The following is a 17,368-nucleotide window of genomic DNA, read 5'->3' as shown; positions in this document are numbered from 1 at the left end:
GACCTCAGGGAGAAGCATTAGAAATGTATATTGGAAGCCCATTGCATATCTGCAGTTCCTAGGTAGTCAGGCTTGAGTTTCCAGTCTGGTAAGCTATATATTGTTCTCTTTTCAGTGTGGGTTCAGTTAGCCTCAGCAAATACCTAATAAGGTCTTGAGATAAAGATCTACTCCAGGTATAGATGTATAAGCACCTGGACTGGGGCTCCACCCGCTAACTGGTCAGACCATGCAAATCAACCCTTCCTGTTTCCTTTTACTGAAGAGCTTAGCTAGGGTGACTTCTGCCAGGAAGTGCCCTTGCAATAGCATCACAGCTGAAGCCAAAGGGGTGGACAGGAGGAGAGCAGACATCAGACCTCATCTCAGTGCTAAACCTACTGGAGGAGAGGAGTCACCGACCCCTCAGGATGGGGGGACTGGCACCAGGTGATATAAACATTCTGTTGACAACACACCTGGAAGTAAGATGGTTAGGGAAGGCTCATGGGGTTGTCCCCCTTGTATGTTCCCATTTTCTTTTAATACCACAATCAAAAGTAAACCTGTAAGTGAAACAGACCAATGCTGGGTTCAATGGCTCTGTCAAGCAGAGAGGGGACAGTGGTGGCAGGTGGTGATTCTTCTATGGGGAAGATGTCACAGCCTCAGCCTCAGGGCCTCAAGAGCACTGAACAGTGGCTTTATGGTATGGTGTTGGCTAAGACTCACAAAGCTCCCATGCTGTCAGATCCTAACATTCCCTAACAGAAGATTGGAATCTCTGTGATACTCAGACTCTTATCTCACTAACTAATACAAGCAACAGCCAAACAAGGAGGCTTCTCAAACAAAGGGATCATCAACTCGTGCTGGAACCCAGAGTTTCCCAATGGGTAATGAGCTGGGATTAGGAGACTTTGGAATCAGACACACCCATGTGCTATGTGGGGCAAGGTGGTTCCCCTTCTGAGCTTCCATTTTCTCAGTGTAATGGGAATAATAACGTTTAATCAGGGTTGTGATGAGTCAATGAGATGACAAAGTCAAGCATCTAGGACAGTCACTGATACAGAGTAGGTGTCCAGTCAATTGCATGTCCCATAGCCTTCTTGTTATTCTGTAGATGCAGGCACACATAGTGAGACCCCAAAGGGTCGTTAGGACGTGAGTCAGAGGGTTAACATTATAGCTTAGCCCTGCCACTTTGGAAATGAATTCTTATACAATCATTTATCTGTAAAACACTAGCATCTACAGGACCACTTCTCTACGATTACTTAAATCACCCTATTAAGTGGGCATTAGTATCCTCATTTTACAACTGAGAAAATGAAAGCAAAGGAAGGTTGAACAGTTTGTGCTAGTCACTTTAGCCCCAGTCTTCTGATCCCTAATTCAGTCTCTGCCCTCCCCACCACTGGAATAATCATCCATTTGGTATATATTTACTGAAAGTTGACTTAGTTCCAGGCACTGGACACCCACTTAGAGTCACTATTCCAAGAGTAGAGCTAGCCTGCTCTAAGCCAGCTGCATTCTTTGATCCCTCATGGGTGATGGTGGATCTACAGGAGTGGTGGCCAGGGCAGTGGTAGTTGTGCAAGTGGTAGTTGTGGCACCAAGTGACAGAGCCCTTGGCATCATGTTGTAATCAACCGAACTAACCACCCACACATCAGAGAACTACTACTACTGTGGTGCAGGTGTTAGTAATATGCTGTAAGACATTCTCTGACTTCAAGCCACTTATAGTCTCTTGTTGTAAAGAAGATATAGCCACGTGAAAAGCACAGCAGAAGGAGGAGAAAAACTGTCCAGTGGTTCTCAGATTGGGCTATATAGTAGAATTACCTGGAAGGCCTTTACAACATCCCAGTACCTAGACCCAACCCTCAGAGATTGCAATTTATTTGGTACAGGTTGGGTCTCAGGTATCAGCATATTGTAAGATCTCCCCAAGTGATGTTACCATGTTGGCAGGGTTGAGAACCCATGCGTAGGGCCTTGTCCATCAAAGTGCAGTTTGCAGATGGGCAGTACTGGCATTACCTGGGACCTTGTTGGAAAAGCAGAATCTCAAACCCAGTCCAGACCTGCTGATTCTGAACCTGCATTTTAACAAGATCCCAGGTGATCTGTGTGCATGTGGAGGACTGAGAAGCACTATGTGGAGGATGGTGAAGGGCAGACTCCTCCCTGCAAGGCAGCCAGAAAAGTTCTTCCCCAACCCCAACAGGGATATGCAGCCCACTCACTCCCCACCAGGCAGGGCACACCCCAAGACAGTAGAGCCAGGGGCCTGGGTGATCATGGGGAGCCACATCACCAAGCTCTGCTTCTCTTGCTCCTCCAGAGCTGCACCTGGGCCTGCATCATGGGGCTCCATGTGCCAGAGCTGATGGAGACCCAACAAATCTCTTCTGTGACTAAAAGGAAGTCTAAGAGCAAGGCTCTGTCACCATTTAAGTGACAAAAAGAAAAAAGAGTTTCTTCCCTTTCCACAGCCCTCTTCCCCAATGTCCCTACCCTCTTCTAAGTGCTCTTCACCATGGAAGAGGAGAGGCGAGCTCAGGACAGCCCTACCTCGGTACAGCCCAGTGAGAGAGCAAGCTGCCTGACCAACCATAAAGGCAGCTCTGTCACTGCAGGCATGGAGGTGGCTGGTACCAGCTAAGCCATTCCCTCATGAAGGAGGGAATCCCTGAGAGGCCAGACAGGGACACGCATGTAATCTGGCCCCTCCAGCACCCTGCATCCCACCCGCAGCTCTGGATCCCCGCTACCGCCTTTGTCTTTGTTTTTCCCTATCGTGTGTGTGTGTGTGTGTGTGTGTGTGTGTGTGTGTGTGTGTGTGTGTGTTTCATACGTGCCTGCCTTTCCTCTCCCTTTAGACTGGGAGCAACCACCTTCAGCTCCTCCTTTGTCAATGCCCGCAGTACTGAGCACAGAGACTTATGCCCAGCAGGGGCTCAATAAATATTATTTGTATTCATGTGCACACATTTTCTAGGGGTCAAACCCACTGCTCCATGCTAACAAAGAGTGACTCACAAGTAGGCCTTTATGAGGGATTACTATGAGCACATTGAGATTCTATTGGAGAAAACAAGAAGACAATAAGAAATACCTTCAAAAAGCATGCATCCCGGTTTAGGAAATCAGACTTATACATAGCAAGCCTAAGAACAGAGACACAGGAAATCAAGCATGTTCATGGTAAGGTTAGGCAGGCCAATGGAGGCTGGCATGCGCCAACACCATGGAAATTTTCTGCTCCAGTCTTTTGACAGATTATTATTACTTACCTCTTGCTTGGCATTTGTAAGCATTTATCACCCTTTGATACTTCTAACACTCACTCTTCCTTGGGGCAAAAATGGCTCAGAAAAACAAAAACAAAACAGAAAAAGGCTCACCTGTACCCCCACCCTGGGCCATGTTCACTATACCAGATAAACGGGATGACTGTAAAGATACATAGAGTTGCAGTGGGAGATGGATCAGGACCGGGAACCTTTCTCTGCTGAGATGCCTGCAAACATCTGACACCACAGCACATTATTTGTACCCCACCCCACCTCACCCCACAGCCAGCTTTTCAGGGCCATAAACACTACATCGCTTTCCCGTTCCAGGCTCCGAAAAGTCTTAGATCAGGTCCCTGAGACCCCAGACAGAATCCAAGGAGCCTTCCCTCGGCTTTTGAATGGAAAACTTGCAGGGCATCATGGATGGTTTTTCTCATTATGAAAACAAGAAAGTCAGGGCAAAACTCACAGCCAGACACAGACTTCAGTTTGGATTCAGCATGGGGCTTTCTCCAACAATTGGTCAAACTTACCCCCACTCAAAAGTCCACTTTACTCTAAGTCAGAGAGGCTTAGGTATGAGGATCAATAAGGAGAGGTAAGTGGCAAAGGTCAAAGATTCTGACTCTATAGAGCTGTGCAGTCTAATATAAATTACATAAATAAATTTAATGTAATTCAAAATTCAATTCTTCAGTCATATTAGCCACATTTCAAGTGCTCATGTAATTGGTGGCTTAATTATGTTAGACTGTGCAGATACAGAACATTTCCATCATCAAAGAAAGTTCTATTGGACAGCACTAATATAAAGCATTTAGATGTTTCATTTGAAGTAATGAGTACGGTGTTCTGGGAAGTTCTGCTGCTCTCCCCTGGTTTGTTGGGGAGGCTTTAGGTGTTCTGTGGGATGCTGAATAGAGGGTGTGCATTTTCATAATGAAAGAAGCAGTGTGCTGGAATTCTCATGTAAACCCAAAAGTTCTAAGGCAAAACTTACAAGGCTACAAAGTGGGCCATCTTAGCCTGCATACGTGGACACACAGTCTTTCCACACTTTTGCTTTCATCACAAGGACCATAAAGTCAGATACTGTAACTATTTTACTGACAAAAAGCCCACATGCTGCCTAGTCCTAGGCAGAATCATTCTCGAGATCCCCTTGGCTGGTTGTAAGCATTCCCCGGCGTTACTTTCCAGTGCAGCATCACTGAAGAGAAAAATATCTCAGGTCAGGTCAGCACTCTGGACAGCGACAAGCTCCTTCCCAGTGTATTTCAGCACTCCCGTCTGCCCCAAACATCCTTCAGAAGGAACTATCCCCTCAGAAACCACCAGGTGCCTGGGAAGGGACTTCCCACCCACTTCTTCTAACACCACAATCTTGTTGTCTTCAGAACAAGAGAGTGTTCAGCTATGAAGCTTCAAATACTCCTCACCAATGCCAAAAAAATTCACTCCTCAGCAAGCCAAGGTTTGCTACAGTCTGGCCCCAGACCGCTTCTTCCACTGCTGCAGCCTGGCCAATTCACCATGCCTGACCACACTAGCTGTTTCCCTCTTCTAGCCCTTTGAGTGGGCACTCCTTTCCCCACCAGAAATGCCATTTTCTTATCTTTGACTGTTCAGGTCCTACCCATCTCTAGAGGCCCAAGCCAACCCCCACTTCTCTTCAGAACCTTCCCCAAAGACTTTAATCTACACTGATTTCCTCTGTTGTCTGACATCCCAAAGCACTTCTAGTTTAGATCATGCTTTAGAAACTTAATTACCTATCAATCATCTTGTATCATTACCAGGTTCCTATGTGGGTTTTGCCAGAACTAGCTTTTGCCAGCAACCAGCCATGCAGTCACAAGTCAGTCATGCCACACTTCTGAGTCATTTCTTGATTAGTAAAATAACTATCTTGAACTAAAACATTTCTAACATTTTTGAGTTTAGGTTTCTCTCAGAACAAGTTTCCACCTAGAAGAGTGCAATGCACATAGCAGGGTCTTCAAATAATAACTGCAGATGCAATGAATATCTTACAAAAACAAAACGAGGGCATATCCCAGGGCTGAGGCCAGCCACAGAATCCTGGTTTAGCTCCCAATGTGGATGACAAAGGCTTCAATTCCACTCAGTGTGTGATGATAATCGGAAAGATATCCAGTTTCTGCCCTGACCTACGTCAGCATAGAAATATCATCTATGGCCTTGGAGGCATTTTCCTCCATAAAGACATTCACCTCCAACATGTGGAAAAATACCACACAATAGGTATTATAACAATGGCAGTGACAACAATGTCTTGCATATAAATTTATCTTATATAGGTCAGCCAACACCTGACAGCAATGTACTAACTTCATTTACTAATTACACACAAGCCCAGACAGACTAGGAAAAGTAACAAGAAGCATAAACATTGGTGGTGCCCCCAAATAAAACTCTGGCTGGTCTCACGAGTCAAGATGTTCCAAGAATTAGGTGGCAGGGAGACAGACTTAAAATTTTACCTCAATATTACACCTTCTGTCAAAATGATAGATAGCTATAATACCTCCTCATAATTAACATCCTGTTATTCTCAAATAATTTGGCTTATGGTCAACACACAGTAAGATATAGGGGAGATTCTTCCACCTTTGAACAACAAAAAAGGCCTAGAAATATTTAATGACTTTTACCCTGCAAATAAAGATAAAACTAGAACCAGACTTAGTTGGAATAATTCTACTAACATAGGCACCACACACACACACACGCACACACAGACATACATGCACACACATATCCCAATACACAACTCAGAGAATTCTTAGTAATATAAAGAAAAGAGTGATGAAATTCTCTGACCCTGAAATTGGAGCTTTCACCAAATGGTTGTTTAAAATGCTACTGCCAAAGCAAATTGGCCAGCATCAGTAAAGAAAAAGGGAATTTTCATCACTGGGAAAAGTTCTTGGAATTGCTCTGCCAGCCATTCACTCTCATCCCAGAAAATCACAAGATCTGAGAACAAAACTTAGCATCTGATCAATCCACTCCAGTTGGCCCAAACTGGATCCAGGAAAGCTAGCTCAGCATGGAGGCCAGAAGTCTCCCATCCTAGAAGGCCTTTCCCAGAGCTGGGCATCGTACGTGCTCAGAGAAGCAAATCAGGGAGACAGCAGTGCAACGAGGTTAGAAGAGTAAAGACTAGCACTCAGGGTTCTCTATGATTTTTGTCTCCATATACTGCTCCAGACACACCCCTCACTACTGAATTACATGCACCCACCACCCAAACCATGCCATTTACCTTCATGAATCAAAGATCCTCTACATAGTCCTGCTTTTGCACATGATTTTTCTCCAGTAGTCCTGGAGAAAGTCTTCAAGTCTTGATATCTCAAGACCCACCAGCCGGGCGCAGTGGCTCACGCCTGTAATCCCAACACTTTGGGAGGCTAAGGTGGGTGGATCACTTGAGGTCAGGAGTTCAAGACCAGCCTGGCCAACATGGTGAAACCCCCATCTCTACAAAAAATACAAAAATTAGCGGGGTGTGGTGGTGGATGCCTGTAGTCTCAGCTACTTGGGAGGCTGAGGCAGGAGAATTGCTTGACCTGGGAGGTGGAGGTTGCAAGGTTGCAGTGAGTCAAGATCGTGCCACTGCACTCCAGCCTGGGTGACAGAGCAAGACTCCATCTCAAAAAAAAAAAAAAAAAAAAAAAAAGACCCACCTCAAGTACTTCCTCTTGCAAGAGGCTTTTCCAGATCACCCAAGCCCAATGTGATCTTCCATCAGCTTTCTAGAACTTACATTCTGGAATTAGCAAATATTACTTATATTTGGACACATATCTCTTACCACCTGTAAGGCAGAAGACAGGGTCTCATAAGCCTCCACATTGCTCCAGAAGATGATGTGGTAACGCTGACCCAAATAGCAGGTGCTTGGTGATGATGATGAGAATAATTAGACCTTCTTAGGAGGTTCATTTGCCACCTAGAGTCAGAACTAGGTATGAAGCTAAGTACGAGGGGCTGGGTGGGGCAGGCAGAAACAGGCCAGAAGGGAACCCACTTGGAGGACCACTATTCACGCAGCCTTCCTCCAACTCTGGGTGCCAAGAACTTTTTTATTCTAGGACTGACCGGGAAATCCTTCTTTCCAACCCCTGAGTGGCTGATCTCAGGCTGTTTATCTTGTTAACTCTGTTTATTGTGATCCCGGTAAGAGGTTCTGAAGCTCTCCAAGCCCGTCTCTAATTAAATTCATTAGAACAGATTGGGGCCTTCTTTCTGGATCTCAAAAAAAAATAACAACATGATTAGCATCACAATAACGGGGAGAGGGGCTGCCAGGGAGGCCTTTCAGGAGGGGCTGGGCCAGCCCGGGAGGGGAGGAGTGAGGAGGAGCAGGTGAAGGAGGAGAAGGCAGATGCTAAGACAGCTGCTTCCTGGAGGAAGAGAGCAGCAGGAGCCGGGAGGGGATGATAGGGGAGTGAGGGCATGACCCTACCATGCCCCAGGCACTCCAACTTTTTCATGGCACTGCATGTGGGAGAGGAAAGCCAGGACAAGAAATTAATCAATGACATAAATCCCAGAAACACAGGCTGTGGGACAGGAACTTGCAGCAACCCTGTAATTTTACAGAGAAAGAAATCCATTTAAGTTAACAATGGGGCCAGAAGTTGAAGGCCCCTCATGCCTTTTAGGATGATGTCCTTTTCCTGTAAGACTTTGCGGCATGGACCAGGGAGAAGGTGGGGGGAGGGTGGGGGAGAATAGGCAGGATGAGGCAGGTCACTTCTTTCCCAGAGAATCTGAACCCAAGTTTTTGCTTATACACCTGATGGTTCCTTCATCTAGAATACCCTCTGCTTCTCTTGCATATCCAAATTCTGCCAATTCTTCGAGGCTCAGTTCCATTCCCAACACCTCTGTGTACAGCAGTTAGCATCTGATGAATATTTACTACCAGCTAGGTATTACATTGGGCCTTTCACTATCCTCTCACATTTAATCTCTGTAACAGCCCTGCAAGGTTCATATTAATATCCCCATTTTGCAGATGAGCTGCAGCTATGCAGCTAGCAAGTAGTAGAAGCAGGGTCTGAATGCAGATCTGTCTGGTTGCAAAGGCTGAATGGTTTCTACTGTGCCATGTCACCTCCATGACTCCAACAACCTAATCCAACTAACAAATCATGCTTTTCTTTGAAATTTTACCGTCCCAGGTCTGAGGCACCAATGAAGATTTAATTAGACCCTGTATTGTCTTGTTCTCAAGGTGTTTTACCTGTCTCAGTCTTATTTCTTCTATTTGAAAGCAGGAACCACATTTCTATCTTTCAGAAGAAAGTAAGGCATTCAAAAATGCCTTCTAACTGAATCCTTCTAACAGATTTTCCTAGAAAGCCTTGTGCATGTGGATAAAACATCCTAGCTTTTTATTTTTCTACCTGGGGTTGGAGGCGGGGAGGGGGTGGGAGGTGGGGCTCAGTACGACATATGGGAGAGGAGCACAGGCTTTGAAGTCAAACAAATAAAGGTTTAGATTCTAGCTCTGCAACTCACCTGTTCTGTAATCTTCAACAAGTAACAGCTTCTCTGAATCTGTCATTTTCTGTAAAACCAGCAACTTAACAATATCTCATTTGTAGGGTTAACCCTTTGAGGATGAAATGAAATGATGCATATAAAGCATAGAGTAGGGTGCCTAGCACATAGAAAGAACTCGATAATGGTGACTATTGTTATTACGCCACTTTTATTTTTTTCTGGCTTGCCTCAAGACCTAATGAAAAAAGGGTGGCCTGAGAGTTCTCAAGCTGGCACAATCTAACCAATGTCCTGGGTCAGCAAAGCTGTGGAAGTGCCTACTCAAGCACCCCGCACAGCCATTAACTCCCAGGCCCTCTTCTGCAGTCCAGGGACCAGGCCATATGCATCCAACATCTGCCCTTACAGTTAGGCCTGGGCCCTTGCAGCTAGACCTGGGCCTTAGCTGGGCATTGTAAGTGCCCAAAGGTTTGTCATCAACTTGCTCAAGCCAAGGCAGGGGTCTGTCCAGACAGTTTGGTGCAATCACTCCAGATCCTACTGCTCACTATGACCCCTCAGCCATGCTCCTACAACACCAGGAATTCATCTAACCTCAATTATAGCAGTTCTTGTGCTGAGTCTTAATTTGGTTTCATTTCTGTGTCTCCAATTTGACTTACATGCCCAATAGCTTGCACAGCTCCTGACAGATTCAAAGGCTCAGGATACATTGATGAAATGAACAAAAATGGGTGTGTGGGGGAAAAGAGGGGCTACTCAGACAGATGAAACTGACAGTCTCTCTCCTTAGGCTATTTTCCCACTTCGGCTATGGATATTTGCGGGAATCTGTGGTCAAGTGTATAGCTTCTAAGGACCTCTCCTGCTTACCAACAACTTGCCCTCCCCATCAATGACTCCCACCTGACTCTGACCTCCCCATAATGCCAAATCCTTTCACACACCTTGCAGGTGTGTGAACCTTGCAGTCCTCACAATATTTTTCCTCGCCTTGCCTCTCAGCACATCCCTGTGCATCTTGCCTACACACGAGTAGCTCCCAGAGCCTCTTTCCTCTGACTCACTGACATTCTAAGCATATCCAGCCACACTTTACCCCTAAAATACAAGAGCTTAGAAGATGGGATTGGGAGAGTTAAGCAGCCTCGACCTCATCACAGAGCTCCCTTTGGGTATTCCCCTATCAGGTTCTAGCCACATCTAGCCGGGTTCACCTTGTTCACACAGGTGTTCACACAGAACATTACCCCTCTAGCCCTTCAAGCTGGGGATCTGACAACACCTTGAACCTCATCTTGTCCCCTACCCTTTTCCTGAGAGTCAACTTCAGGGTCAGCCCTGAGCTACCATTCCGGATAGCATCAGCCAAGCCCTCTTCATAGCTGTGGAGAGCAGGGTGCTGATACCACTGGAATTAAAGATCCCGCTGTGTAACATCCCTATCCGGATGCTCTTGCTCAAGCTTATCTGTTATTTGTCTGATCACCTGTCTTCCTCTTCCATTGCCCAGGAGCTCGGAGAGATTGGACCCTAGCTTACTTTTCATCTCTATGGTCTCAGCACCTAGCAGAGCAGCACACCGTAGGGCTTAATGGATCTTTGTTAAATGAGTAAGTATGAAACCGGCCTTACGTTCCTCTCACTTCTCCCCTCCCCACCCCAAACATCACCCCAGGCAAACAGACTGAGAACTGAATTTTTCTGCTTCCCCCTCTCTGATTTCCTAAGAATTTCTTTTTCTAAAGACAAAGGGATGATTCTCACACTCCAGCTCCTCCATGGTCTTGAAGATCTCAGGGTGCCTCTGGCCTCCAAAAAAGCCTGAGGGAGAAGAGTGGAGCCAGAGGTAGGAAACAAGTTGCAATATACTGATCAGAGCCTTGGCATCCTGTCTCTCACTCACCACAGAAATCAGACCCTCCTCTGGCCCACCCACCCCAGAAATGCAAAGCCAGAACCCCACCCCCAGCTCTCAGCCACCTCTTCAATGTGTGCCTTAAAAGAACCAGCCCTTGTGAGCGCAGCCAGTTCAGCCCACAGGGAGCTGGCTAGGTACAATTGGAAGGTCTTGCTCCAGCTCTCTGGGGAGCTGGCTTCTCCCTCCGTGTGCCTTGGTTTATTTCTCCGTACTCTTTCTGATGCCAAACAAGGGGGTGAGGGGTGAAATTCATTGCACAAAACTGGGAAATATGTACACTGTTATTAGAATCCCCCACTTCACCTGAGCTCCAGTCAAGCATTTCAACATCAGGACCTTAATCCAATCAGCTCTCAACAACGGCTGCAGGTAATGCTTTCTCCCTGTACCAGGAAAAGCTGGCAGCCCTTAGGCACTGATGCCAGGGAAAGCTTCCAGCCCCACCCCCTCTCACGCTGGAGAGGCGACGGAGAAGGGTGACAAAGCAAGGTGCAGCCAGTGCCCCCAGCAGCACATCCCCTTGCCAGGCACTGCCTGAGGCCCATTCAGAGTTTACTGCACAGGAGCTGAAGGAGTCCAGTCACTTGGATTCCTAAAGTGAAAGCCTTGCAGAGAAGGGACAGAGTCTGTCTGCAATTCGCTCTTAACGCCTCAATTTAAGCCTCTGGGTTTCGTCTAAGCCCCTAAGACAGGAATCGGGCTGCCATTCCCTGTTCCACAGTGGCAACCACAATTTCTGGGGCTAAGTGGGAGTGAGTCTCTTTCCTTACTGGCATAATTCTCTCTCTCTCTCTCTCTCTATACACACATCACACAACACACACACACATCACAACACACACACACATCACAACACACACACACATCACAACACACACAACACACCCCTTCAGTTGAATCCAAAGACAAGGGGAGAAATTACTCCCTCCGAAGTGCCAGCTCAGTCAAGACAAAAGGTGAAATGTATTAGCTGCGTAGCAGGCCCCCATCTCCTTCAATTCTTCCTGCAATGCAATTCCACCACATCCAATCATCCCCAAACCAGAAGGAGGATAGATCTCTGCCTGCCTTCCTCCACTGCCCCCACCTCACAGCTGGTATGGCCCCTATCCCCAGAGGCTTCCACTCTTCACACACATTTTCCCTGGGCTATTCTCCTATTGCTTTAAGTTCTGTGGGCTCTGAGGCTGGCTTTGGCTCCACACAAACAATTAAACTCCTGTCCAACCAGGTCTCAAAGCCCTGTGGCTTGCCCTTGCCTTGCTGGAGATTTGACTGAGGCCCAGCAGGGCCCAGCACATTTCCAAGGGTAGATGAGACGCACTAGGCCCTCATGCCAGGGACACAGGCAGGCAGAAAAGGGGTATTGTTGTCCTCTCCCCCACACTGAGGGATGAGGCATCTCTGCTCAACACACACACACACACACACACACACACACACACACACACCCCATGCCAAAATGCCAAGGAAGGAGTCAGGAGCAGAACCTGGCTCAGGACAGGATGGGGGCTGCCATGGGGACCAGATTCTAGGTGATTCAGCACTCTGCCCACTCTTGGCCCAGCCCATGGGCCACACTCATGACAGCTCCAGATGCCAAAGTGCTGACTTGGAGGCTGAAGCAGAATCTTTTCTAAAATCCAAAATTATCCAGCCCTCCAGCAGGGCTCCTCATCCAGGCCTTTACATCAGGGCTCAGGCCAAGCCCCAGGAGGAGTCTGCTCAGTCATTCCCCTGGACCCTGCCCCTTCCCCATCCTAGTTTCCCAATGCCTAGCACCCCCTCCCCCAATCCATCTAGGAAACAAACCTGAACAGCTAGAGGAGTAGAGTGGCTGCATGGCTGGAGAGGAACATAAGAGAGAGGCCTACTAACCCCCAGCATTCTTCCCCAAGCCACAAATAGGATCGAACATGCAGAAAGGGGTTATATTCCACAACCAAGATCCCCACCCAGGGAAGGGGGGTCCAGAGGCCACTGAGGGAGGGCTGGGTACAGGCTGTATGGCTCCACACAGCACCAGGAAGGGCAGCTAGGGAAGGTGACGGGTGTCAGGCCAGCTAACAGCCAAAGGGGGGAGAAGGCGGGGTTCTTGAGAGGGACTGTGATGCAGGAGGACACCAAGAGGCAGCTGGGAAGGGGCTGGGACAGGGCGTGCAAGGGGGAACCAGGGGAGGACAGAAACTGAGGGAGCAAATGGAGAGACAGGACACCAACTGGTAGGGGCATGAGATGGGGAAGAGAATAGGGGAGGCAAGAAGGGGCTGATGTGTGCGGTAGGAAATACAGGAGGCATGGGGTCATCCAAAGTGGGGTGTCGAGGTAAACAGAAGTACAAGGGCAGGCAGGGCTCACGGATGAGGCGGGGACAGAGAGGAAAGGGAAAGGGTTGAGGATGCGGGAAGGGGGAGGGGACGCGGCCAACGAGATAGAAAGGGTGTTGGGGTGGGCAGGGGGCTGGGAGCTGGACGGGGACGGGGTGGGCATACGAACAGAATCGGATGGATTCGGGGCAGGTGACAGTGTGGAGAGGGGAAGGGATGGGAATGTGGACGGAGGGGGAGGGGGCAGGTCAGGGGATGGAGACAGACGAGGGCGGGAACAAGGGGGTGTCGCTAGGTGGGTTTCCATGACTCTCTACCCCCATCTCTCCGGTGTTCGCGCTCGCCTACCTCCAAGGGCTCGGGCTCCGGCCCTGGGCGCTGTCCGAGCTGTCCGCTGCCGGCGCCGCCACTTCCCCCGCGTCCCCTGCAGCGCCTCTCGCCGCCAGCCGCCGCATTAGGGCAGAGACCAGCCCGTGCGCGTCCCCGGGCGGCCGGCGCGCCCCCGACACCCTGCGTGCGCGCCCCCGCGCCCCTCCCTTCGCGCTCCTAGCGGCCGCTGAGCGGGGACCAGGACAGAGGCGGAGGGAAGGATGCTCCGGACGCAGCCCCGCCTGGCGCGCTGGGGAGCGGTGCGCAGAGCCAGGGCCGGAAAAAAAAATCCTCCTTTCTCTTTTCACCTGAGGCCTCTTTGCGGGCTTGCCTGGAGAGTGATAACTAGTCTCCCCGTTTCCGTTCGCTGAGCACCTACTACGTGCAAAGCACACAGGAGGAAGTACCCTGAAGCCCCAACAGGATCGCTTGTTTGCACCTCCACCATAGACTGTGACTTTAGGGAGCAGGAAGTTGCCGGACAGCTTGTGTTCTCAGGGCCTAGCACAGAGACTTGTTTGTGGTAAACTCTCCAGCAACATTTGTTGATTGGCAAGTCGTTGGATCCTGATTCAGGGATGTGAGAGAGGTTGTGACTGCTATGAACAGTGCGGGGCTTTCTTTTAGAAATGGGAGATTTCCTCTGCCCTAGGGGGACTCAGGCCTCAGTCGTGGCTGGAGAACTATCTGACATGATAGCAAGACATTTATCTGTGGACATCAGTTTCCACAACTGAACCATGAAAAGTTGATTGGGTGGTCGCCCAAGGTCTCTTCTAGCTCTGACACGAAGACTGCATTAGGTTCTGTGCACAGGATCTGAGCTCAGAATTATCACCTGAAACAGTGGAAAGATCCCAGTTAGGGAATCATAGAATCTTTGTCTTGGAAGAGCACTTGGAAGCTTCTAGTTCAGCTCCTCATCCAAAACTACAGTCCCCTGCAGCATCCCTCTGTGGCCCCATTCAAGGGCTACTTTCTCTGTGCTCATAGCTCCTACCCTGGCACCACTGTCTTTTATTCTGGATGAGAACACCAAAGTTCAAGGAACCTGCCCAAGTAATAATTCAAAGCCCAGATGCATCTGACAGTGCCTAGTTAAAACTACTTTGCTATTTTAAGATGGGCCCTACAAGTTTTAGATTTCACCAATACTAGAATCTTCTAATATGGTCAAGTTGAAGGATCACAGGATTTGCCAAGAAAGTCCTGGCTTACCAGCAGGGTAAACTTGGGCAGTTCACTTAACCTCTCTAAGTCTTCTTTTTCCCATCTGTAAAATGGGCATAGAGTGAGCATCAATGAGATAAGGTACTGAACCAAACTGTTCTTTACAAATGTTAATTATTGTTCAGCCTTCCCTCCCCTTTCTTCATTACTTTTAAACAGCAAATACACGAAGGTCTAGAGAGATGGACCCCACACAGTGGTTTGGTGGTTGAAACTGAACTGGGACTCAAGTTTCATGGCCTTAGTATAAAGAAATTAAGTGTGGGCCTAAAGGGAGCATGGTGACCCCCAGAGGCCCTGAGGGTGAAGGTGTTTCCTTGGCCTCGGTGGTGTCCCAGAGCTGCAGGCAAGTCCTGATGGAGGGAGAGGCACCCCCTGCTGGTGATGGACTCTGGGGACTAAGAAGAGCCTACGCACCTTGCAGGCTGTTCTGCTGCTGTGTCAGGAACAGACTCACTCAGGACCGAGGGCAGAAAGTGGTTGCTCTTTTTCTTTCCTGACATTTATCTGGCCTTCCTGCTTCTTTTTCTTCCCTGGGTTTGCACCTCTAGTTCTGGCTGGAACCCTCAGCAAGCATGGACTTTCAACCCAGACCTGAAACCTCACTCACTGTGTCCTCTGTCATGGTGAATGGCAAGTCACAGGATTTTCACATTCCCTAGTGTTTCATTCCTCCCAATGAAATTCCATAAGCCCTGCCTCATCCTGGGCTCAGACCAAGAGAAAGCCCCAGGTATGAGTCTCGGGCACTTGAAGCCATCCTCTTCCACACTGGTCCCTAGGAAGTGTGGGGAAACTGGCAGATTCGTGCATCATTGGTGGAGGTTTAACTTGGTATGGCCTTTTTGGGAGAGCAATACAGCAGTACCATCAAGACTTTAATGACACCCTTGACCCATCAATGCCACCTCAAAGAATCCAGCCTGCAGAATCACTGGCCCAATCCACAAAGATGTGTATGCACAAGGATACTCAGTGCGGCTCAAGAGGACAATGATTACATCCATTGTAATAATCCATGCAATAGCACAGTTTTAAAAATTATAACAATGATAACACACACACATTTGTTTTTTAAAAAGCAAGTTAATAATGACATACAGGGAATAAAGGTATTATCCTTTTCTGGGGGAAAAGGGAAAGCAAATTGGGAGACAGGGTGGGAAGAAGAGGAAAGAGGGAATAATGCCCTGGGCTAGTTTAGAAGATAAGAGCAAAGGCCCTTAAGCTTACTAGGAAGGACCTAATTTTTGTTGAAGCCTTTCACATACTAGGCCTTTTGCATATATTATGTTACTCATTCCTCAGAAACCCCAGTGAGGTGGGGATCATTGTCCCCAATTTACTGATGAGGAAATAGATGCCCAGTGAGGTTAATAAGAGTACAGCATCACACAGATGGGGTGTGGTACAGTGTTAGCTTTGCCCCTAGAGAGATCTGACTTTTGTCCTTGGCTCCTGGGAGGTCATCTCTGAGTCCTTGGTTATCTCACCTGATAAGAGTATCTTTATCTACCTGGGGGTCTTGGGCAAAACCAGGTAGTCTATACTAACAATGATGGATGGTGGGGTCTTTGGGCATGCATCGGCTCAACCTCCAGAGGGGCTAGAAACTAAGGTCAACCACTTGGATGGTCAGCCATGACTACATGACTGAGCCCCAATAAAATCCCTGGACACTAAGGATTGGAAGAACTTCCCTGATTAGCAATATTTTGCATGCAGTGTCACACATTGTTCCTGGGAGACTTTAGCACTGTCCTCAGCTTCATCAAGAGAGAATAACTGCGATCTCTGCACATGCAACTCTCCTGGACTCTGCTTGACCTGTCTCTTCTTTTGGCTAATTCTAATCTGTATCCTTTTATTGTAATAAACCACCATTATGAGCCTATGAGCTCTCAGTTCTATGAGTCCTTCTAATAAATTACTGACCTAAGAGGGGTCTTGGGAATGCTTGAGCTTGCAATTGGTCAGAAGTAAGAATGGTCTCAGGGACTGCTTCCTAACTCTGTAGATGGTAAGTGGTGGAATTGGGAGTTGGACAAAGATCTTAGAGTCTCCAGGGTGTACCCTCTCCCACTGCACAACACTCCCTTACGCCGACCTATTGTATAACAAGTGCCAAAGGACAGAAACTCTGCCACTGATACAAAAGGGCTGGGCTCCCGGCTAAACCCCACCCTTAAGCCTGGAACTGTGGCCCTAAGTGGATATAGCTGACCCCACTTTTCCTCCCAAATGTTGCCTTTTTGGCCTGCCCTGCCCCTATCCCTTGCCCATAAAAGACTTTAGCTGGCAGAGAAACACAAGTGGCTGAGTGGCAAGGAGACAAGTGGCTGAGCAGTGAGCAGAGAAGCAACTGAACATCAGAGACTGTGGATAGACATGGCTAATTTCAGGCAGTGTGGCTTCAGAGAGGGGCCCAGATGGAGACAGCCAGGCTTCAGAGAAAGATTACCTTCCCATCCCCTTTCCAGGCTCCCTTTCCACTGAGAGCCAACCACCACTCAATAAAGTCTTCCACACTCATCACCTTTCAAACAGTTCATGTGACCTGATTCTTCCTGGACACTGGACAAGAACCCGGGTGCTGAGAGGGCAGGGGCTGCCACCCTGACCTTCCACTGAGCTGACTGACACTTGGCCATCTCTGGACAGCAGAGCTGAAAGAGCATCCATTGCAACAC

The 17,368-nt window shown here is 48.2% G+C and overlaps 1 protein-coding gene across 26 annotated transcripts in view; it reads right to left on the bottom strand.

Moving 5' to 3' along the window:
• NFASC (neurofascin) overlaps positions 1-13,558 on the bottom strand; it is a 194,171-nt gene extending 180,613 nt beyond the window's left edge. For all 26 annotated transcript variants that reach the window (NR_165492.1, XM_011509316.2, NM_001378329.1 and 23 more), the window contains exon 1: positions 13,428-13,558. Coding sequence is in view for 12 of the 26 variants with exons in the window: in XM_011509316.2 (XP_011507618.2) it covers positions 13,428-13,534 (107 nt within the window). In the remaining 14 variants the exon portion in view is untranslated. The remainder of the gene's footprint in view (positions 1-13,427) is intronic.

This window comes from Homo sapiens, chromosome 1 (assembly GCF_000001405.40).
Source record: "Homo sapiens chromosome 1, GRCh38.p14 Primary Assembly".
NCBI classification, from domain to species: domain Eukaryota; kingdom Metazoa; phylum Chordata; class Mammalia; order Primates; family Hominidae; genus Homo; species Homo sapiens.
This window is presented reverse-complemented; position numbering and strand designations above follow the sequence as displayed.